This window comes from Homo sapiens, chromosome 5 (genome assembly GCF_000001405.40).
Source record: "Homo sapiens chromosome 5, GRCh38.p14 Primary Assembly".
In the NCBI taxonomy this organism is placed as follows: Eukaryota; Metazoa; Chordata; class Mammalia; order Primates; family Hominidae; genus Homo; species Homo sapiens.
In genome coordinates, this window is record NC_000005.10 from 132,965,009 (window position 1) to 132,988,885 (window position 23,877).

The 23,877-nt window shown below is 44.7% G+C and overlaps 1 pseudogene; it reads right to left on the reverse strand.

Annotated features, from left to right (window-relative positions):
- Nucleotides 21,413-23,130, reverse strand: LOC402230 (small nuclear ribonucleoprotein U4/U6.U5 subunit 27 pseudogene; annotated as a pseudogene).

Below are 23,877 nucleotides of genomic sequence, written 5' to 3' on the forward strand. Positions count from 1 at the left end.
GGCGTGGTGGTGCATGCGTATAGTCCCACCTACTCTGGAGACTGAGGTGGGAGGATCACTTGAGCCTAGGAGGTCGGTGCTGCAGTGAGCCGGGAGCTTGCCATCCAGCCTGGATGAGAGTGAGACCCTGTCTCAAAAAAAGAAAAAAGAAAAAAATGTCTTGGACATCCTGCCATATCAGTATATAATGAACTACCTTTTTCTTCCTAGAGGCAGAATAATATTCCACTTATGCAAACATCCTAATTTATTTAACCAATCCCCTACAGGTGGATATTCCGCTTGTTGCCAAGCCATTACTATTACATGCTAAGCTGCAATGAATAACCTCATACAAGACAGGGCAACATAGTGAGACCCCATCTCTACAAAAAATAAAAAATTAGCCGTTTGTGGTGGCACAGGCTTGTGGTCCTAACTACTAGAGAGGCTGAGGTGGGAGAATCGTTTGTACCCAGGAGATGAAGGCTGCAATGAGCCCTAATCGCACCACTGCACTCCAGTCTCAGTGACAGAGCAAGACCCTGTCTCAAAAAAGTTAAAATAATTAAAAACGAAAAACAACTCCATATAATGAGCAAATTATACCTGTATGATAAATCCTTAGCCTGGAATCTTTAGATCAAAAGGATTTTTAATTTTGATAGATATTACCAAATTATCCTACACAGAAATTGTGCCTATTTCATTTACTTGCTTTCAAATTCTGCTTAAGAAGATTTACAAGGCTGTATAGGTTGGAGGGTTGAGGGGATGGAGAGTGGCAAAAGAAAAGAATATTTGTCACTTTACACCGTAATAATTTTTTTTTTTTGAGACAGAGTCTCGCTCTGTCGCCCAGGCTGGAGTGCAGTGGCGCCATCTCGGCTCACTGCAAGCTCTGCCTCCCAGGTTCACGCCATTCTCCTGCCTCAGCCTCCCCAGTAGCTGGGACTACAAGTGCCCGCCACTACGCCCGGCTAATTTTTTTGTATTTTTAGTAGAGATGGGGTTTCACCGTGTTAGCCAGAATGGTCTCGATCTTCTGACCTCGTGATCCACCCGCCTCGGGCTACCAAAGTGCTGGGATTACAGGCGTGAGCCACCACTCCCGGCCACACCATAATAATTTTGATTAAAGATGAGTATTAAGGTGCAAATTGAAAATATGTAACAAACTTTAAGTTTCCTTGCTTATTCTGAAGTAAATGTTATTTGGCTAACGCAAATAATAATATGCTTTTGTTCCATAAAGGATAGTGATACTTTTTCAATACAAAATGAAACCTTATTTAAAAACCAAAAAGGGGAGGAATGGCCAGTATAGCCTTTTATTTGGCATTATTCTGCAAATAAGAAGTTTCCGGCCAGGTGTGGTGGCTCATGCTTGTAATCCCAGCACTTTGGGAGGCCAAGGCAGGCAGATCACCTGAGGTCGGGAGTTCCAGACCAGCCTGACCAACATGGGGAAACCCAGTCTCTACTAAAAATACTAAAATTAGCTGGGCGTGGTGGCCAGTGCCTATAATCCCAGCTACTCAGGAGGCTGAGGCAGGAGAATCACTTGAATCCAGGAGGCCGAGGTTGTGGTGAGCCAAAACCTTGCTGTTGCACTCCACCGTGGGCAGCAAGAGCAAAACTCCATCTCAAAAAAAAAGTTTCCTCTGTTTCAGCAAATAAAAGAAAAAGTTCCTAAAATTATTTCTAAGTTTTTAATATTTTAATATTGTATCATTTTGTTTAAGAAGTTACATCTGTTTTAACAAAGTGAATGTTCTGTCTCTAACTTCATGTTCTAGAACAGTGTAAGACTACTGTGCAGAATGGAGAAATTGCAGAAAATGACGTACCATAAAACTAAAAGAGAAACAAAGGCCGGGCACGGTGGTTCATGCCTGTAATCCCAGCACTTTGGGAGGCTGAGGTACGTGGATCACAAGGTCAGGAGTTCAAAACCAGCCTGGCCAAGATGGTGAAACCCTGTCTCTACTAAAAATACAAAAATTAGCTGGGGGCAGTGGCAGGCGCCTGTAATCCCAGCTACTCAGGAGGCTGAGGTAGGAGAATTGCTTGAATTCGGGCTTCAGAGGTTGCAGTGAGCCAAGATCGTGCCACTGCACTCCAGCCTGGGCGACAGAGGGAGACTCTGTCTCAAAAAAAAAAAAAAAAAAGAAACAAAAATCTCAAAGCAAAATATGATTGTTTTACTAGCATGCAAGATTTTAACAAAGGATTTAGGCCAGGCACGGTGGCTCATGCCTGTAATCTCAGCACTTTGGGAGGCCACAGCAGGTGAATCATCTGAGGTCAGGAGTTCGAGACCAGCCTGGCCAACATTGCGAAATTCTGTGTCTACTAAAATACAAAAATTAGCTGGGCACAGTGGTGTGCATCTATAATCCCAGCTATTTGGGAGGCTGAGACAGGAGAACTGCTTGAACCCGGGAGGCAGACGTTGCAGTGAGCCAAGATTGTGCCATTTACAGTCCAGCCTGGGCAACAGAGCAAGACTCTGTCTCAAAAAAAAATAAAGATTTAATGTATATTGTTAGAGTAGCAATACTTAGTAACTGAGTACTGTTTTTAAGTTAGGTTTTTGAAGGTAAAATTTACATATCATAAAATTCATCCTTGGCTGGGCGTGGTGGCTCATCCCTGTAATCCCAGCACTTTGGGAGGCAGAGGTGGGCAGATCACTTGAGGTCAGGAGTTTCAGACCAGCCTGGACAACATGGTGAAACCCATTCTCTACTAAAAATACAAAAATTAGCCAGGCATGGTGGCGCACACCTGTGATCCCAGCTACTCAGGAGGCTGAGGCAGGAGAATCACTTGAACCTGGTAAGTGGAGGTTGTGGTGAGCCGAGATCTTCCCACTGCACTCCAGCCTGGGCAACAGAGTGAGAATCCGTCTCAAAAAAAAAAAAAAAGTATATAATGTACAGTTTTATGAGTTCTGACAAATGCATACAGTTGTGTAACTACCACCACAGTCAAGATATAGAACATTTCAATCACCACAAAATATTCCCTCTTGCCCCTTCGTAATGAACCCTTCATTTCAACCCCAGTTCCTGGAAAACATAGATCTACTTTTTGTCCTTATACCATTACCTTTTCCAGAATATCAAACAAATGGAATCATGCAGTATATAGCCTTTCAAGTCTGGCTTCTTTCACTTGGTATAATGCTTGTGAAATTTATCCATTGTTGTTTTCATGTATCAGTACTTTCTTTTTTTTTTTAATCACTGAATAGTATTCCATTGTGTGGATATAACATAGCTTGTTTAGCCATTAATCAGTTGAAGAACATTTGGGTTGTTTCCATTAACAAAAAACAATTAGAAGTCATTGTAGAAGTCCAAAAATAAAATAAAATAAAAATTATGAATAAAGCTACTATAAATATCCATGTACAAGGTTTCATTTGGGCCTTAAATGATCTCCACCAATATTTTCTGAAAATCACATCTAGATATAGGAACTACCAAGTCACAACTACAGCTACGTAAACATTATTCCATATTATTTTAGAAACTCAGATAATTTATTCATTATTTATCAAATATTTATTAAACATCTACTATATAGCAGGTATTGTTCTAAGCACATGGATAAGACAATTGTCAGATACTAGCTCCCCCAAAATACCACCAAGACAACCCATTGGCGAAACCCTGTCTCTACTAAAAATACAAAAAAATTAGCCAGGCGTGGTGGCGGACGCCTGTAATCCCAGCTACTTGGGAGGCTGAGGCAGGAGAATTGCTTGAACCCGGGAGGTGGAAGTTGCAGTGAGCCGAGACTGCACCATTGCACTCCAGCCTGGGTGACAGAATGAGACTCTGTCTCAAGAAAAAAAAAAGCAAAACTGAGTTATTGTTCACTTCAATAAAAAAGATCACTACCTTAACACAGTCTCAGTAACATCTTTAAGGGGGAAAGCAAAGTTGGAATATTTATAAGGTTTGGGGATCTGATTTAAGAGAGTTTTTCAATTCAAGGGGCTTGATTACAACTGGGTAAGAATCATGATACATTGGGATTTGTGGACATAGTAAGGAAAGGTTTTTTTTGAGACAGAGTTCTGCTCTTGTCACCCAGGCTGGAGTGCAGTGGCGAGATCTCTCGGCTCACTGCAACCTCCGCCTCCCAGGTTCAAGTGATTCTCTGGCCTCAGCATCCTGAGTAGCTGGGATTACAGGCGCCCACCACCACGCCCAGCTAATTTTTGTATTTTTAGTAGAGACGGGGTTTCGCCATGTTGGCCAGACTGGTCTCAAACTCCTGACCTCGGGTAATCCACCTACCTCAGCCTCCCAAAGTGCTGGGATTATAGGCGTGAACCACCGCACCCGGCCAGAAAAGGGTTTTAAAGAGTCTGGGATAGTGTATTAGTTTTCTACTGCTGCAGTAATGAATTACCACAAATTTAGGGGCTTCAAACACCACAAATGTGTTATCTTACAATTGTGTCAATAGAAGTCTGACACCAGTCTCACTTGATTAAGACAATGTATTGGCAAGACTGTTGCTTTCTACAAGCTCTAAGGGAGAGTCCTTCCCTTTTCCAGCTTCTAGAGACTGCCCTCATTCATTGGCTTGTGACCCTTTCCTCTGTCTTCAAAGAAAGCAGTGGCTGGTTGTGTTCTTTTAAAATCACATCACTTTGACTTTCTATTCCATCTCCATTATTTATTTTATATATATAAAAATATATATTTGGCTGGGCGCAGTGGCTCACACCTGTAATCTCAGCACTTTGGAAGGCCGAGGCGGGTGGATCACGAGGTCAGGAGATCGAGACCATCCTGGCGAACACAGTGAAACCCTGTCTCTACTAAAAATGCAAAAAATTAGCCGGGCGTGGTAGCACATGCCTATAGTCCCAGCTACTCGGGAGGCTTCGGCAGGAGAATGGCGTGAACCCAGGAAGCGGAGCTTGCGGTGAGCGGAGATGGAGCCACTGCACTCCAGCTTGGGTGACTGAGCGAGACTCTGTCTCAAAAAAAAAAAAAAAATTAGCCAGGCGTGGTGGCAGGTGCCTGTAGTCCCAGCTACTCGGGAGGGTGAGGCAGGAGAATGGTGTCAACCTGGGAGGCGGAGCTTGCAGTGAGCCAAGATCACATCACTGCATTCCAGCCTGGGCAACAGAGTGAGACTCCATCTCAAAAAAAAAAAAAAAAACCATATATATATATATTTCTTCTTATTATTTTGGGCCAACTCAGATCATTCAGAATCTCATCTACTTGTTTTAAGGTCAACTAAATAAACAACCTTAATTTCATCTGCCACCTCAATTCCCCTATGCCATATAAAATAGCATATTAGGGCCGGGCGCGGTGGCTCATGCCTGTAATCCCAGCACTTTGGGAGGCCAAGGCAGGTGGATCACAAGGTCAGGAATTCGAGACCAGGCTGGCCAATGTGGCGAGACTCCATCTCTACTAAAAATACAAAAATTAGCAGGGCATGGTGGCATGGTGTCGGGTGCCTGTAATCCCAACTACTCAGGAGGCTGAGGCAGGAGAATCACTTGAACTTGGGAGGCAGAGGGTTGCAGTGAGCTGAGATTGCACCATTGCACTCCAGCCTGGGTGATAAGAGTGAAACTTCATCTCAAAATAAAATAAAATAAATAATAAAATAGCATATTAGGTTGGGTGGGTTGGCTCATGCATGAAATCCCAGCACACTGGGAGGCTTAGGCAAGAGGATCACTTGAGCCCAGGAGTTCAAGACCAGCCTGAGCAACACAGTGAGACCCCATCTCTTAAAAAATTGAAAAATTAGCCAGATGTGGTGGTGCACGCCTGCAATCCCAGGTACTTGGGAGGCTGAGGTAGAAGGATAAATTGAGCCTGGGAGGTGGAGGCTACAATGATCCATGATCCTGCTGCTGGGTGACAGGGAGAGATCCTGTCTCAAAAAAAAAAAAAGCATATTAGTATATTCACAGGTTCACAAGTTCTAAGGATTAGTACATGAACATCTTTGGGGAAGAATTATTCTGCCTACCACAGAGCATAAAGTCACTTGAAGTCATCTATTGAAAAGCTGAGCAGTTAGATGTTCTTTTAAACATTTATATGGTTTGGATCTGTGTTCCCGCCCAAATCTCAAGTAAAATTGTAATTCCCAATGTTGGAGGTGGGGCCTGATGTGAGGTGATTGGATCATGGAGGTGTTTCTCATGAATAATTTAGCACCATCCTCTTAGTTCTGGTCTCATGATAGTGAGTTCTCATAAGATCTGGTTGACTAAAAGTGTGTGGCACAGCTGGGCATGGTGGCTCATGCCTGTAACCCTAGCACTTTGGGAGGCCAAGGTGGGCAGATCAATTGAGTTCAGGAATTTGAGACCAGCCTGGCCAACATGGCAAAACCCCATCTCTACAAAAATACAAAAATTAGCCTGGTGCGGTGGTTTGCACGTGTAGTCTCAGCTACTTGGGAGGCTAAGGCAGGAGACTTGCTTCAACTCAAGAGGCGGAGGTTGCAGTGAGCCAAGCTCACGCCACTGCATTCCAGCCTGGGCAACAGAATGAGACTCTGTCTCAGAAAAAAAAAAAAAGTTTGTGGCACCTCCCCCATTATGCTCTCTTGCTGCTACTCTGGCCTCGTGATGTGTGTGGTCCCTCTTCACATTCCGCGATGATTGTAAGTTTCCTGAGGCCTCCCCATTAGCCGAGAAGATGCTAGTATCATGCTTCTTGTACAACCTGCATAACTGTGAGCCAATTAAACCTCTTATCTTTATAAATTACGCAGCCTCAGGTATTTCTTTATGGCAGTGCAAGAACGGACTAATGCCTGTCATTCCAGCTACTCGGGAGGCTGAGGCAGGAGAATCACTTGAACCTGGGAAGCAGAGGTTGCAGTCAGCCAAGACCCCGCCATTGCACTCCAGCCTGTGCAATAGAGTGAGACTCTGTCTGAAAAAACAAACAAACAAACAGACTAATACAAACACGATTTTGAAAAGTTGCTGAAATTGTTAGAGGTGTTCCAACAGAGAGACTCCATCTTGACTACGGGCTGGGTGAAACAAGGCTGAGACCTACTGGGCTGCATTCCCAGGAGGTTAGGCATTCTTAGTCACAGGATGAGATAGGAGGTCGGCACAAGATACAGGTCACAAAGACCTTGCTGATAAAACAGATTGTAGTAACGAAGCTGGCTAAAACCCACCAAAACCAAGATGGTGATGAAAGTGACCTCTGATCGTCCTCATTGCTCATTATTCCTTAATCATAAATCATTAGCACGCTAAAGACACTCCCACCAGCACAATGATAGTGTACAAATGCCATAGCAATGTCCTGAAGTTACCCTATATGGTCTAAAGGGGGGAGGAATGCTTAGTTCTGGGAAATCCCTGCCCCTTTCCTGGAAAACTCATGAATAATCCACTCCTTATTTAGCATATGATCAAGAAATAACTATAAGTATACTTAGTCAAGTGGCCCATGTCACTGTTCTGTCTATGGAGTATCATTCTTTTGTTTCTTCTGTAATAAACGTGCTTTTACTCTACCCTATTGATGGACTCCCCTGAATTCTTTTTCTTTGTCTTTTTTTTTTTTTTTTTTTTTTTGAGAGGGAGTCTTGCTCTGTGGCCCAGGCTGGAGTTCAGTGGTGCGATCTCAGCTTGCTGCAACCTCTGCATCCCGGGTTCAAGCTATTCTCCTGCCTTGGCCTCCCGAGTAGGTGGGATTGCAGGCACATGCCACCACGACCAGCTAATGTTTTTTGTATTTTTAGTAGACACGGGGTTTCACCATGTTGGCCAGGATGGTCTCCAACTCCTGACCTCAAGTGATCCACCCGCCTTGGCCTCCCAAAGTGCTGGGATTACAGGTGTGAGCCACCATGCCCGGCCTAGCAAACTTTCTATGTAAGAAACAGATAGTAAAATATTTTAGGCTTTGCAGGTCAAGTGGCAAAATCAAAGATTTTTTTTTTTTTTTTTTGAGATAGGATCTCACTCTATCACCCAGGCTGGAGTGCAGTGGTGCAATCTCAGGTCACTGCAGCCTCCATCTCTCAGGTTCAAGTGATTTTCCTGCCTCAGCCACCCAAGTAGCTGAGATTACAGGCACCCGCCACCACACCCAGCTAATTTTTGTATTTTTAGTATACAATTTGGTTTAACCAAATTGGCCAGGCTGGTCTTGAACTCCCGACCTCAAGAGACCTACCCACCTTGGCCTCTCAAAGTGCTGGGATTCCAGGTGTGAGCCACCATACCCGGCTAAATCAATGATTTCATCGAGGTACTTACATAATAATATAAAAGTTTCCATAAATATTTTATTGGTAACATTTACACTTTTTATGTGTGTGTGTGGAAAACACAGTCTCACTATATTGCCCTGGCAGGTTTCAAACTCCTGGGCTCAAGCTGTCCTCCTACCTCTGCCTCCTTAAGAGCTGGGATTACAGGGTTGAGCCACCATGCCTAGCTTATTGATAAAATTTAAAATATAGTAGTTAAGTTTTCAGGCCTGTTAATAAGAATAAAGCAATTTTGGCTAGACGCAGTGACTCACGCCTGTAAACTCAGCACTGTTGGAGGCCGAGGCAGGAGGATCACTTGAGGTCAGAAGTTTGAGAGCAGCCTGGCCAACATGGTGAAACCCCATCTCTACTGAAAATACAAAAATTAGCTGGGCATGGTTGTGCGTGCCTGTGATCCCAGCTACTTGGGAGGCTGAGGTAGGAGAATAGCTTGAGCCTGGGAGTCGGAGGTTGCGGTGAGCAGAGATCGATCACACAATTGCACTCCATCCTGGGCTACAGAATGAGTCTCTGTCTCAAAAAAAGAAAGAGAAGAAAAAGAAAATATCTTTTCACACAGATACGTACTCTTAAATATGTTATCAATCCACTGTCATATGATATTATTTTAGAATAATCATTGCTGGAGAGAAATTTATAAAATTTTATTAGAGGTTGGGCCCAGTGCCTCATGCCTAAATCCCAGGACTTTGGGAGGCCAAGGCGGGGAGATCACTTGAGGTCAGGGGTTCGACACCAGCCTGGCCAACATGGTGAAACCCCGTCTCTATTAAAAATACAAAAATTAGCCAGGCGTGGTAGTGCTTACCTGTAATCCCAGCTACTCAGGAGGCTGAGGCAGGAGAATCGTTTGAACCAAGGAAGTGGAGGTTGCAGTAAGCTGAGATCTTGCCACTGCACTCCAGCCTGGGTGACAGAGTGAAACTGTCTCAAAAAAAATAAATAAGTACATTGTATTAGACTGTTCTCTTAATATATGCCTTTGAGCATATCATTACATTGAAAAGTAATCACCTCCAATTGAAGATTAGATGGGAGATCCTCAATTGTACATTTAAACTGATTTTGAAATATGGAAATTTCCAGCCGGGAATGGTGGCTCACACCTGTAATCCCAGCACTTTGGGAGGCTGAGGCAGGCAGATCATGAGGCCAAGAGATCGAGACCAGTCTGGCCAACATGGTGAAACCTCATCTCTACTAAGAATACAAAAATTAGCTGGGTGTGGTGGCGTGCACCTGTAGTCCCAGCTGCTCAGGAGGCTGAGGCAGGAGAATCGCTTGAACCAGGGAGGTGGAGGTTGCAGTGAGCCGAGATCATGCCACTGCACTCCAGCCTGGTGACAGAGTGAGACTCCATCTCAAAAAAAAAAAAAAAAAGAAAAAGAAATACAGAAATTTACTTTATACGTGAGAGCCAAAACATGCTGTAGGCACTGTAGTTCAAATCACAGAAAAGATGTATGCTGCAAACTTGTGCAATAATGGACATCTCAGGTCTTCTTTTAACTTTGACACCAGGCCAGGCACAGTGGCTCACACCTGTAATGCCAGTACTTTGGTAGGCCAATGCGGGCAAATCACCTGAGGTCAGGAGTTCCAGACCAGCCTGGCCAACATGGTGAAACCCTGTCTCTTTTAAAAATACAAAAATTAGCCAGGTGTGGTAGCGCTCACCTGTAGTCCCAGCTACTCTGGAGGCTCAGGTAGGAGAATCGCTTGAACTTGGAAGGTGGAGGGTTCAGTGAGCTGAGATCATGCCACTGCAATCCAGCCTGGGCAACAGTGAGACTCTGTCTCAAAAAAAAAAAAAAAAAAAATTGACACCATAGGACGTGCCTAAATCAACCTGACATTTCTTGTGATTCAAACAACGTTATGTATTGCCCAAAACGACTTTATCACAGTAAGAGTTTCACATATCAATACCATTTTAATTGATAATTTTAGGTTGAATGTATTAAGAAACGTTATCACATCTTCAGCAAAAGCTAATCTCTAAAACCACTTAGTATTCAATAAAACTGGTTGAGGGCAATTCTCATTCATAAGAATTTCCATCTCACAGAATTATTCATCATAGCCAAAGGTAAAAGCAACTGACTGTTCAACAATGAATGAATGGATAAGCAAAATGGGGTATAGATGTATATACAATGAAATATTATTCAAACTCCAAAAGGAAGAACAGCTGGGCACAGTGGGTCACGCCTGTAATCCCAGCACTTTGGGAGGCTAAGGCAGGCAGATTACTTGAAGTTAGGAGTTCGAGACCACCCTGGCCAACACGGTGAAACCCCATCTCTACTAAAAATACAAAAATTAGCCAGGTGTGTTGGCACATACCTATAATCTCAGCTACTTGGGTGGCTGAGGCAGAAGAATCCCTTGAACCTGAGAGGCAGAGTTTGCAGTGAGCCGAGATTATGTCAGTGCACTCCAGCCTGGGCAACAGAGTGAGACTCTGCCTCAAAAAAAAAAAAAAAAAAAAAAAAGGAAGGACAAGTGCTAAAACTTGGATGTACCTTGAGGATATTATGCAAGATGAAATAAGACAATCAAAAAAGACAAATACTATATGATTCCACTTGCATAAGTTACCAAGAGCTGTCGAATTCACAAAGACATAAAGTAGAATGGCAGTTCCTAGGGGTTGGGAGTAGGGAGGTAATGAGGAATTATTATTTAATGGGTATAGAGCTTGAGTTTTGCAATATGAAAAGTTCTAGAGATGGATGGTGGTAATGGTGGCCATGGTTTCACAACATTGTCAATATACTTAATACCATTGAACTGTACACTTAAAAATTGTTAGGATGGTATAATGTTATGTGTATTTTACCACAAGTTTTAAAAATTTCCTTCTCAGCTGGGCACCGTAGCTCATGCCTATAATCCCAATACTTTGGGAAGCCGAGGCAGGTGGATCACCTGAGGTCGGGAGTTCGAGACCAGCCTGACCTACATGGAGAAACCCCATCTCTACTAAAAATACAAAAAATTAGCTGGGCATGGTGGTGCATGCCTGTACTCCCAGCTACTCAGGAGGCTGAGGCAGGAGAATTGCTTGAACCCGGGAGGTGGAGGTTGCGGTGAGCTGAGATTGTGCCATCGCACTCCAGCTTGGGCAACAAAAGTGAAATTCCATCTCAAAAAAAAAAATTTTCCTTCTCAGCCCTGAGCTTAAATAAAATAGTAAGTTACAACTGCTAAGCCATCAAACTGCTGTATAGTAGATCAAGTCAGATATTCAGCTTCATTACTGAAAAAAATCCTGGAATTCATAATGATTAAGTCCAGAAGAGCAAATAAAGTTCACTGTTGACACTGTTGGCTCAATAACACATGATAAATTCAAATATTTCCTGCAAGGGTTTTTTTTTTTTTTGAGATGGAGTCTTGCTCTGTCACCCTGGCTGGAGTGCAGTGGTGCAATCTCAGCTCACTGCAACCTCTGCCTCCTGGGTTCAAGAGATTCTCCTGCCTCAGCCTCCTGAGTAGCTGGGACCACAGGTGCACGCCACCACACCCAGATAATTTTTGTATTTTCAGTAGAGATGGGGTTTCACCATGTTGGCCAAGCTAGTCTCGATCTCCTGACCTCGTGATCCACATGCCTTGGCCTCCCGAAGTGCTGGAATTACAGGCATGAGCCACTGTGCCCAGCCCCCTGCAAGGATTTAAACATCTTACATTGTCACAAGCTTAGTGAATCTGCCCAGCTAAGTTTCTTCTGTCCCACAAATATTGGTAACCCCATAAATTATAACACATCTTAGCAGATTCCACTTCAGGTTGTACTGAATTTCAAATTCTTTGAAAATATTCTCACATGTACTTATTCCATAGAGACTACTCTTTGAAGCTAATTCTTCAGTCACTTCCAACTTAACATTGCTCATTGAATAAACAACTTAACAGTTTTGCTAACATCCATCACCTTTTTAACAGTCAAAGACATACAGATGAAAAACAAGAAAAGTCTCCAGAAATAAACACCTCTCATTTATAAGTAGTTGATATTGAACAAGAATTCTTTTTTTTTTTTTTCGGAGACAGAGTCTTGCTCTGTCACCCAGGCTAGAATGCAATGGTGTGATCTTGGCTCACTGCAACCTCCGCCTCCCATGTTCAAGCGATTATCCTGCCTCAGCTTCCTGAGTAGCTGTGATTACAGGTGCCTGCCACCACACCTGGCTAATTTTTGTATTTTTAGTAGCAACAGGGTTTCACCATGTTGGCCAGGCTGGTCTCGAACTCCTGACCTCAGGTAGTCTACCTGCCTTGGCCTCCCAAAGTGTTCAGATTACAGCATGAGACACCTCGCCCGGCCCAATGTTCAACAAAATTTCTAAGACAATTTAATCCAATCGCCACTGCACCCAATGACAATTTAGTTTGTTTGTTTGTTTGTTTTTGCAACAGAGTCTCGCTCTGTCGCCCAGGCTAGAGTGCAGCGGTGTGATCTCGGCTCACTGCAAGCTCCACCTCCCAGGTTCACGCCATTCTCCTGCCTCAGCCTTCCGAGTACCTGGGACTACAGGCACCCGCCACTACTCTCCCGGCTAATTTTTTGTATTTTTAGTAGAGACGGGGTTTCACCGTGTTAGCCAGGATGGTCTCAATCTCCTCACCTTGTGATCCACCCACCTTGGCCTCCCAAAGTGCTGGGATTACAGGCGTGAGCCACCACGCCCGGCCCCTGACAATCCAGTTTTTAAAAAATGGTCGCTGGGCACAGTGGCTCATGCCTGTAATCCCAGCACTTTGGGAGGCTGAGGCTGGCGGATCACCCGAGGTTGGGAGTTCGAGACCAACCTGACCGACCAAGATGGTGAAACCCCGTCTCTACTAAAAATACAAAAATTAGGTGGGCGCCGTGGTGGGCGCCTGTAATCCCAGCTACTCAGGAGGCTGAGACATGAGAATAGCTTGAACCCGGGAGGCGGAGGTTGCAGTGAGCCGAGATCATGCCATTGCGCTCTAGCCTGGGCAACAGAGTGAGACTGTCTCAACAACAACAACAACAACAGCAAAATAAAAAATAAAAAATTTTTTTTAAAAAATGGTCAAAGGGGCCAGGCGCAGTGGCTCACACCTGTGATCCCAGCTCTTTGGGAAGCCGAGGCCAGTGGATCACGAGGTCAGGAGTTCGAGACCAGCCTGGCCAACACAGTGAAACCCCATCTCTACTAAAAATACAAAAATTAGCCAGGTGTGGTGTTACGCCTGCAGTCCCAGCTACTCAGGAGGCTGAGGCAGGGAAATCACTTGAACCCAGGCAGTGGAGGTTGCAGTGAGCCAAGACTGTGCCATTACACTCCAGCCTGGCTGACAGAGCGAGACTCCATCTCAAAAAAAAAAAAAAAAAAAAAGGTCAAAGGGCCACAGCACTTTGAGAGCTGAGGTGGGTGGATCACCTGAGGTCAGGAGTTCAAGACCAGCCTGGCCAACATGGTGAAACCCGTCTCTACTAAAAATACACAAATTAGCTAGGCGTGGTGGTGCACGCCTGTCATCCCAGCTACTTGGGAGGCTGAAGCAGGAATTCGCTTGAACCCAGGACATGGAGGTTGCAGTAAGCTGAGATCACGCCACTGCACTCCAGCCTGGGCGACAGAGCAGGACTCCATCTCAAAAAATAAAAATGAAAATAAATAAAAAATGGCCAGAGGATCTCAAAAGACATCTTTCTTTTCTTTCTTCTTTTTTTTTTCTTTTCAGACAGAGTCTTCTCACTCTGTTACCCAGGATGCAGTACAAGTGGCATGATCTTGGCTCACCGCAGCCTCCATCTCCTAGCTTCAAGTGATTCTTGTGCCTCAGCCTCCAGAGTAGCTGTGACTACAGGCGTGCACCACCACGACCGGCTAATTTTTACATTTTTAGTAGAGATGGAGTTTCACCATGTTGGCCAGGCTGGTCTCAAACTCCTGACCTCAAGTGATCCTCTCGCCTTGGCCTCCTAAACTGCTGGGATTACAGGGGTGAGCCACGGTGTCTGGCCCTCAGTAGGCATCTTTCCAAAGAAGGTATACAAATACAAATGACCACTAAGCACATAAGAAGATACTCAACATTATTAACCATCAGAGAAATGCATATCAAAACAGTGAGGTATCACTTTATGCCCCCTAGGATGACTACGATCAAAATGACAGATACTTGATTTTGATTATAGTACTAGTGTCTTAGTCTGTTTGTATTGCTATAAAGGAATATCTGAGGCTAGGCAGTTTATAAAGAAAAGAGGTTTATTTTGCTCACAGTTTTACAGGCTGTACAGGAGGCATGGTGCTGGCATCTGTTAGGCTTTTGGTGGGGTCCAACGGCTGTTTCCATTCATGACAGAAGGCAAAGGGGAACCAATGTGTGCAGAGATCACATGTTAAGAGAGGAATCAAGGGAGCAGGGGAAGTGCCAGGCTCTTTTAGAAACCAGCTCTTGTGTAAACTAATAGAGTAAGAACTGACTCACTCCCTGACCAGTGAGGTGATTAATTTATTCATAAGGGATCCACCCCTATGACCCAAACACCTCCCAGTAGGCCCTACATCCAACATTGGGGATCAAATTTCAATATGAGGCTTGGGGATACGAGCATCCAAACTATACTAGTTGTGAAGATGTGGAGAAATTGGAATGCTTATAGATTGCTAGTGGGTTTACACTGTAAAATGGTATAGCTGCTTTGGAAAAGAGTCAGTTCCTCAAAACACTAGATCCAGAAATTCCACTCCTGATAATATACCTAAGTTAACATGTGATCCAGAAATTCCACTTCTGAGTATACACCTAAGAAAATTCAAAACATATTTTCACACAAAAACTTGTACATGAATGTTAACTGCAGCATTATTCAAAAAACCAAAACGTAGAAAACAACCCAAATGTCCTTCAACTGATGAATCCATAATGAAATTGGTATGTACATACGAAATATTATTTGGTAATAAAAAGAAATGAATTACTGATATATGCTACAATATGAACAAACCTTGAAAACATTATGCTGAGTGAAAAAAGCCAGCCACAAAGGAAAATATATTTTATGATTCCCTTTGTATGAAATGTCCACAATAGGCAAATCTATAGAGACACAAAGTAGATTAGTGGTTGCCTATGGCTGGGTGGTTGGGGGGTGGACACTGGAAATGGGTAATGACTGCTAATGGGTACAGGGTTTTGTTGTTGTTGTTGTTTTTGTTTTGAAACAGAGTTTTGCTCTTGTCGCCCAGGCTAGAGTGCAATGGTGCAATCTCAACTCGCTGCAACCTCCGCCTCCAGGGTTCAAACGATTCTCCTGCCTCAGCCTCCCGAGTAGCTGGGATTACAGACATCCACCATCACGCCCAGCTAATTTTTGTATTTTTTAGTAGAGACAGGGTTTCTCCATGTTGGTCAGGTGATCCACCCGCCTTGGACTCCCAAAGTGCTGGGATTACAGGCATGAGGCACTGCGCCCAGCTAGGGTTTCTTTTCATGGTGATCAGAATATTCTAAGATTTATTCTGGTGGGCCAGGCACGTTGGCGTACACCTGTCATCGCAGCGCTTTGGGAGGCCAATGCAGAAGGATCCCTTGAGCCCAAGAGTTCCCGAGCAGCGTGAGCAATACAGCAAGACACTATTGCTACAAAAAAAAAAAAAAAAATTAGGCCAGGCACGGTGGCTCACACCTGTAATCCCAGCACTTTGGGAGGCCGAGGTGGGTGGATCACCTGAGGTAACGAGTTCAAGACCAGCCTGACCAACATGGTTAAACCCCATCTCTACTAAAAATACAAAATTAGCCATGCATGGTGGCACATGCCTGTAATCCCAGCTACTTGGGAGGCTGGGGAAGGAGAACTGTTTGAACCCAGGAGGCAGAGGTTGCAATGAGCCAAGATCACGCCATTGTACTCCAGCCTGGGCAACAAGAGCGAAACTCTGTCTCAAAAAAAAAAAAAAAATTAGTCGGGCATGGTGGTGCGTGCCTGTGATCCCAGCTACATAGGAGGCTAGGGTAGAAGATCTCCTGGGCTTAGGGAGGTCGCAGCTGCAGTGAGCCATGATCATGCCACTGCACTCCAGCCTGGGCAACAGAACGAGTCCTTGTGAGTGTTTCAAGAGACAAAGCAGAAGCTGTAATGCCTCTTATGACCTCACCTCTGAAGTCACACACTGTTATTCTTGTACTATTCTATTGGTCACATAGGTTATCTCTGATTCCATATGGAAAGGGACTATATAAGGTCATAAGTAACTGGAAATTATTATCATTGGGAACCATCTTAAAGGCTGGTTATCACAATCCAAACCATAATTTTAAGCAATTTACACAGGAAAAAAATGTTAATGAACACTAAAGTCTGATTTTTAAAATATTGACTCAATTTTATTTCCAGTTCGTATCTATATGTATACCCTACATATACATTGCTCACTGTTTGAAGTTTATTCCCTTTAGGTGTATAAATTTATTTGCTTGTTTTTTCTTTTTATTTTGAGACGGAGTCTTGCTTTGTCACCCAGGCTGGAGAGCAGTGGCACAATCTCGGCTCACTGCCACTTCCGCCTCCCAGGTTCAAGCGATTCTCCTGCTTCAGCCTCCAGAGTACTTGGGATTACAGGTGTGCGCCACCACGCCCAGCTGATTTTTTTATTTTTAGTAGAGACAGGTTTTCACCATGTTGGCCAGGATGGTCTCAAACTCCTGACCTCAAGTGACTCACCCACCTCAGCCTCCCAAAGTGCTGGGATTATAGAAGTGAGCCACCACACCTGGCCTGTTTGTTTGTTGTTTGTGTTTTTTGTTTGTTTTTGTTTTTTGAGACGGAGTCCCACTCGGTTGCCCAGGCTGGAGTGCAGTGGTGCGATCTCAGCTCACTGCAACCCGTGCTTCCTGGGTTCAAGGGATTCTCCTGCCTCAGCCTCCCGAGTACCTGGGACTGCAGGCGCACGCCACCACGCCCAGCTAATTTTTGTATTTTTAGTAGAGACAGGTTTTCACCAAGTTGGCCAGGATGGTCTCGATCTCTTAACCTTGTGACCTGCCCGCCTCAGCCTCCCAAAGTGCTAGGATTACAGATGTGAGCCACAGTACCTGGCCTTGTTTTTTTTTTTTTTTTTTTTTATTGATCATTCTTGGGTGTTTCTCGGAGAGGGGGATTTGGCAGGGTCATGGGACAATAGTGGAGGGAAGGTCAGCAGATAAACAAGTGAACAAAGGTCTCTGGTTTTCCTAGGCAGAGGACCCTGCGGCCTTCCGCAGTGTTTGTGTCCCTGGGTACTTGAGATTAGGGAGTGGTGATGACTCTTAAGGAGCATGCTGCCTTCAAGCATCTGTTTAACAAAGCACATCTTGGACCGCCCTTAATCCATTTAACCCTGAGTGGACACAGCACATGTTTCAGAGAGCACAGGGTTGGGGGTAAGGTCATAGATCAACAGGATCCCAAGGCAGAAGAATTTTTCTTAGTGCAGAACAAAATGAAAAGTCTCCCATGTCTACTTCTTGCTACACAGACACAGCAACCATCCGATTTCTCAATCTTTTCCCCACCTTTCCCCCTTTTCTATTCCACAAAACCGCCATTGTCATCATGGCCCGTTCTCAATGAGCTGTTGGGTACACTTCCCAGACGGGGTGGTGGCCGGGCAGAGGGGCTCCTCACTTCCCAGTAGGGGCGGCCGGGCAGAGGCGCCCCTCACCTCCCAGACAGGGCGGCTGGCCGGGCGGGGGGGCTGACCCCCCCACCTCCCTCTCGGAAGGGGCGGCTGGCCTGGCGGGGGCTGACCCCCACCTCCCTCCTGGACGGGGTGGCTGCCGGGCTGAGACGCTCCTCACTTCCCAGACGGGGTGGCTGCCCGGCGGAGGGGCTCCTCACTTCTCAGACAGGGCGGCTGCCGGGCGGAGGGGCTCCTCACTTCTCAGACGGGGCGGCCGGGCAGAGGCGCTCCTCACCTCCCAGACGGGGTCGCAGCCAGGCAGAGGCGCTCCTCACATCCCAGACGGGGCGGCGGGGCAGAGGCGCTCTCCACATCTCAGACAATGGGCGGCCGGGCAGAGACGCTCCTCACTTCCTAGATGGGATGGCGGCCGGGAAGAGGCGCTCCTCACTTCCTAGATGGGATGGCGGGCGGGCAGAGACGCTCCTCACTTTCCAGACTGGGCAGCCAGGCAGAGGGGCTCCTCACATCCCAGACGATGGGCGGCCAGGCAGAGACGCTCCTCACTTCCCAGATGGGGTGGCAGCCGGGCAGAGGCTGCAATCTCGGCACTTTGGGAGGCCAAGGCAGGCGGCTGGGAGGTGGAGGTTGTAGCGAGCCGAGATCACGCCACTGCACTCCAGCCTGGGCACCATTGAGCACTGAGTGAACGAGACTCTGTCTGCAATCCCGGCACCTCGGGAGGCCGAGGCTGGCGGACCACTCGCGGTTAGGAGCTGGAGACCAGCCCGGCCAACACAGCAAAACTCCATCTCCACCAAAAAAATACGAAAACCAGTCAGGCGTGGCGGCGCGCGCCTGCAATCGCAGGCACTGGGCAGGCTGAGGCAGGAGAATCAGGCAGGGAGGGTGCAGTGAGCCGAGATGGCAGCAGTACAGTCCAGCTTCGGCTCAGCATCAGAGGGAGACCGTGGAAAGAGAGGGAGAGGGAGACCGTGGGGGGGGGGGGGAGAGGGGGAGGGGAAGAGGGAGCGGGAGAGGGACGTTTTTTAAGACAGAGTCTCACGCTGTCACCCAGGCTGGTGTGCAGTGGCACAATCTCCACTCACTGCCACTTTAACCTCCTGGGCTCAAGGAATCCTCCCACCTCAGCCTCCAGAGTAGCTGGGACTACAGGCATGCGCCACCATATCTGGCTAATTTTTGCATTTTTTGTAGAGATGGGGTTTCTTTCACCTTTTTGCCCAGACTGGGCAAAATCTCAGCCTCCCAAAGTGCCGGGATTATATGCGTGAGCCATGGCGCCCACCCCCATCTGTTTATTCTTAAGTGAACCTTGGTAGTTTGTCTTTCAAGGAATTTGTCCATTCATCTAATTTATTTATTTAATTTTTAAAGAGACAGGGTCTTGCTCTGTTGTTCAGGCTGGAGTGCAGTGGTGCAAACACAGTTCACTTCAGCCTCAGACTCCTTGGCTCAAGCAATCCTCCCACCTCAGCCTCCCAAGTAGCTGGGACTATGCACCACTAAGCCCGGCTAATTTAAAAAAATTTTTTTCTAGAGACAAGGGTCTCACTATGTTGTGCAGGCTAGTCTCCAATTGCTGGCCTAAAGCAATTCTCCAGCCTCAGCCTTCCAAAGTGCTGGGATTATAGGTGTAAGCCACAGCACTCTGCCTATCTAATTTATTAAATGAGTAAAGTTGTTCATACTGTACTCTTAGTGTTCTTTTAATATCTGGGAATGTGTTGTAATAGCACCTCTCTCATTCCTAATGTTGGTAATTTGTGTCCTCTTTTTTATCCTGGGCAGTCTGGTTAGAGGTTTATCAATTTTATTAATCTTCTCATAGAACCATCTTTTGGATTCACTGAATGTATTGTTTTTTCATTTTCTATTACATTGATTTCTGCTCTGATCTTTATTTTTCTTTCCTTTCTTATATTTCTTTCTTCTGCTTATTTTGGGATTTTTTGCTCTTGTTTTCCTAGTTTCTTAAGATGAAAGCTGAAGTCATTGATTTGAGACTTTTCCCCTAATATAAATTTCCCCTACGTATTACTTCAGCAGCATTTCGCAAATATTAATATGTTTTGTTTTCATCTTCATTCAGTTAAAATGTCTTCTAATTTTCCTTTTGATTTCCTCTTTGAGCATGGATTATATGGAAGCATCTTGTGGCCGGGCACAGTGGCTCACGCCTGTAATCCCAGCACTTTGGGAGGCCAAGGCAGGTGGATCACGAGGTCAGGAAATCGAGACCGTCCTGTCCAACATGGTGAAACCTCATCTCCACTAAAATACAAAAAAATTAGCCAGGTGTGGTGGCGAACACCTGTAGTCCTAGCTACTCAGGAGGCTGAGGCAGGGGAATCGCTTGAACCCAGGAGGCAGAGGTTGCAGTGAACCAAGATTGCGCCATTGCACTCCAGCCTGGTGACAGAGCAAGACCCCATCTCAAAAAAAAAAAAGAAGTGTCTTGTTTAGTTCCATATAGTGGGGGACTTTCCAGAGATGTTTCTGTTATTGATTTCTAATTTAATTCCACCATGGTCGAAGAATATATCTTGTATGACTTGAACATTTTCATATTTATTGAGACTTGTTTTATAGCATAGAATGTGGACTACCTTGGTAAATATACATTACTAAATATTCTGGGTACACTTTAAAAAGAATGTATATTCTGCTATTGTTGGGTGGAGTAGTTCTGTAAGTGGCAATTATGTCAAGTGGGTTTATTGTGTTGTTCAAATCTGCTGTGTCTTCACTGATTTTTTTTGTCTATTGTTCTATTAGTTATTGAGTATGAGTATTGAGATCTCTCACTATAATTGTGAATTTGTCTATTTCTCATTTTATTTCTATCAGTTTTGCTTTATGCTTTCAAGCTCTGTTATTAGGTGTATTCATGTTTAGGATTATTATATCCTAATATATGAATTGTCACATTACCATACAAAATTATGAAATAGTAATAATACAAAAATAATATGAATATGAAATATGAATATAAATGAAAATATGAATGTGAAATGTGAATAATGCAAAATATATGAATGATACAAAAATTATGAATTGCCACATTATCATACAAAATGACTTTTTTTATCCTTGTTAGTACTCTTTCTTTTTTTTTTAATGGAGATAGATAGTAGTCACAGTTTTTTGTTTTTGTTTTTGTTTTTTTTTGAGACGGAGTCTTGCTCTTTCGCCCAGGCCGGAGTGCAGTGGCGCAATCTTGGCTCACTGCAAGCTCCTCCTCCTGGGTTCACGCCATTCTCCTGCCTCAGCCTCCCGAGTAGCTGGGACTACAGGCGCCCGCCACCGCGCCCGGCTAATTTTTTGTATTTTTAGTAGAGACAGGGTTTCACCGTGTTAGCCAGGATGGTCTCAATCTCCTGACCTCATGATCCGCCCGCCTCGGCCTTCCAAAGTGCTGGGATTACAGGCATGAGCCTCCGCGCCCCGCCAGTACTCACGGTTTTAATTATAGTGGCAAGTCATGGGAGGCAAGTCAATGTTTACCAGTGAAACAGTAGTTAATAAATTATGATACAACCAAGTAGCTACTAAAAGCTAAGTTTCCAAAGAATATTTAAAAGTATTTTTTAAATGTTCACAGTACACGGGAAAAAAAAGGGTTAAAGAAAGAACTGCATACATATTCTGATCTCATGGGTGAGGGTGAGAAATATACACCCAAAGAAGCCTGGAAAGACATATCCCGAAATGTTAAAATTGATTATTTCTGGGAGTAGATACCAGGTGATTTTTGGCCTTCCTTTTACTTTTTGGTTTCTCTCAGATATTTTTTTGCATGTATTGCTTTTATACTTGGGGGAGAACAATAAATGGTATTTTGTGGGGGGGAACCACAGAAGATAGAAAAATCTAGTTATGCTTTTTCATTCTTCCCATTTTTAAATTACTAAGAATCAAGATGCTTAAATCTATGCATGAAATAAAAAAAGAAAATGTCTAGGGGATTCTTTAGTAATAAAAATATTTATCAAATCTAAAAGTGTAGAAATACTGCTTTATTGGATAAACTTACTTCCAAATTACTTTCATGTTTTTTAAGAAGTCCTAATGAGCATTCAAGAAGAAAACATGTACTGCTTCCACAGGAATAAGGACAAATAAAATGAGGTTGACGCTTACCACAAATGATATTTCCTAAAAGAAAAAAACGTAATATTTAACTTTTCTTCTGTTGAGGCAAGGTAAGTGAACTGCATACATCATAAATAAGATTTTCTTGGCTGGGCGCTGTGGCTCATGCCTGTAATCCCAGCACTTTGGGAGGCCAAGGTGGGCGGATCACGAGGTCAGGAAATCGAGACCATCCTGGCTAACACGGTGAAACCCCGTCTCTACTAAAAAATACAAAAAATTAGCCGGGCGTGGTGGCGGGTGCCTGTAGTCCCAGCTACTCGGGGGGCTGAGGCAAGAGAATGGCGTGAACCCAGGAGGCGGAGCTTGCAGTCAGCCGAAATTGCGCCACTGCATTCCAGCCTGGGCGACAGAGCGAGACTCTGTCTCAAAAATAAATAAATAAATAAATACATAAATAAAATAAAAATATTTTCTTGCTTTACAAGAAGGAAGAACTGAGATCCTGTTTTTTGAATGCAAGTTAAATACAAAATCCACTCTCTGACCAAGATGAGGGGAAAAAATCATTCTTCAACATTTCAATTCTCATGCAATGAAATCCAAAGGTCTGTGGAATCCACCTTTTCGATTCATCTACTGCCCGTACTTCCTCTTCTGAGAGACAATTATGGCATAGGCATTTACAGAGCAATCCACCTTCTCACCTTTTGTGGAGTCAAAGGAGACAAATTCCATTAACTTCATCATTTCTATTTCTTCCTCTGTTTTGCCCTCTAAGTCTTCCTCAGTAATTTGCCATTCTTTGCTCTTTGTTTCTTTCTTTTCCTCATCTCTTCTTTCGTTCGGCTGAGAAGGGGAAGGAGATGTGGATTTATGTCGTCTTGGAGATCGGGAGCGTCCTAGGTGCGGGGTTGGCGAGCGGTTCCTTCTCCCATCTCTCTCCCGAGACCTGGACCTTTCTTGGAGCCTGCGTTCTCTCTCACGGGATGTGGACCGGGAACGCCTACCTTTCCTCCGTGGGGAGCCGCTGCGACTGCCACCCATTTGGAGTCTCGCTCCCCGGAAACGACTGGTTTTTTCATGTTTGTTTGTTTGTTTTTTGGAGACAGGGTATTGCTCTGTCACTAAGGCTTGAGTGCAGTGGCAGGATCATGGCTTACTGCAGCCTCAACCTCCTGGGCTCAAACGATCCTCCCAGTTCAGCCTCCTGAGTAGCTGGGACTACAGGCACGTGCTACCACATCCGGCTAAGTTTTGTATTTTTTGTAGAGATCGGATTTTGCCATGTTGCCCAGGCTGGTGTCCAACTCCTCGACTCAAGCAATTCACCCGCCTCGGCTTCTCAGAGTGCTAGGATTATAGGCATGAGCCACCCTGCCTGGCCTCTTCTGAAATCTACTTTGTCTAATATTAATATAGTCTCTCTAGTTTTCTTTTGATTAATGTTAACATATCTGTTTGTGCCTATCTATTTATTTATTTGAAATGGAGTTTCGCTTTTGTTGCCCAGACTGGAGTACAATGGCGGGATCTCAATTTACTGCAATCTCCGCCTCCCGGTTTCAAGCGATTCTCCTGCCTCAGCCTCCAGAGTAGCTGGGATTACAGGCATGCGCTGCCACACTCAGCTAATTTTTGTATTTTTAGTAGAGAGGGGGTTTCACCATGTTGTCCAGGATGGTTTCGATCTCCTGACCTCGTGATCCGCCCACCTCGGCTTCCCAAAGTGCTGGGATTACAGGCATGAGCCACTGCTCCTGGCCAAAAATACAAACTATTTTATAGTTGAAGAATTTGCGGGGCGCAGTGGCTGACGCCT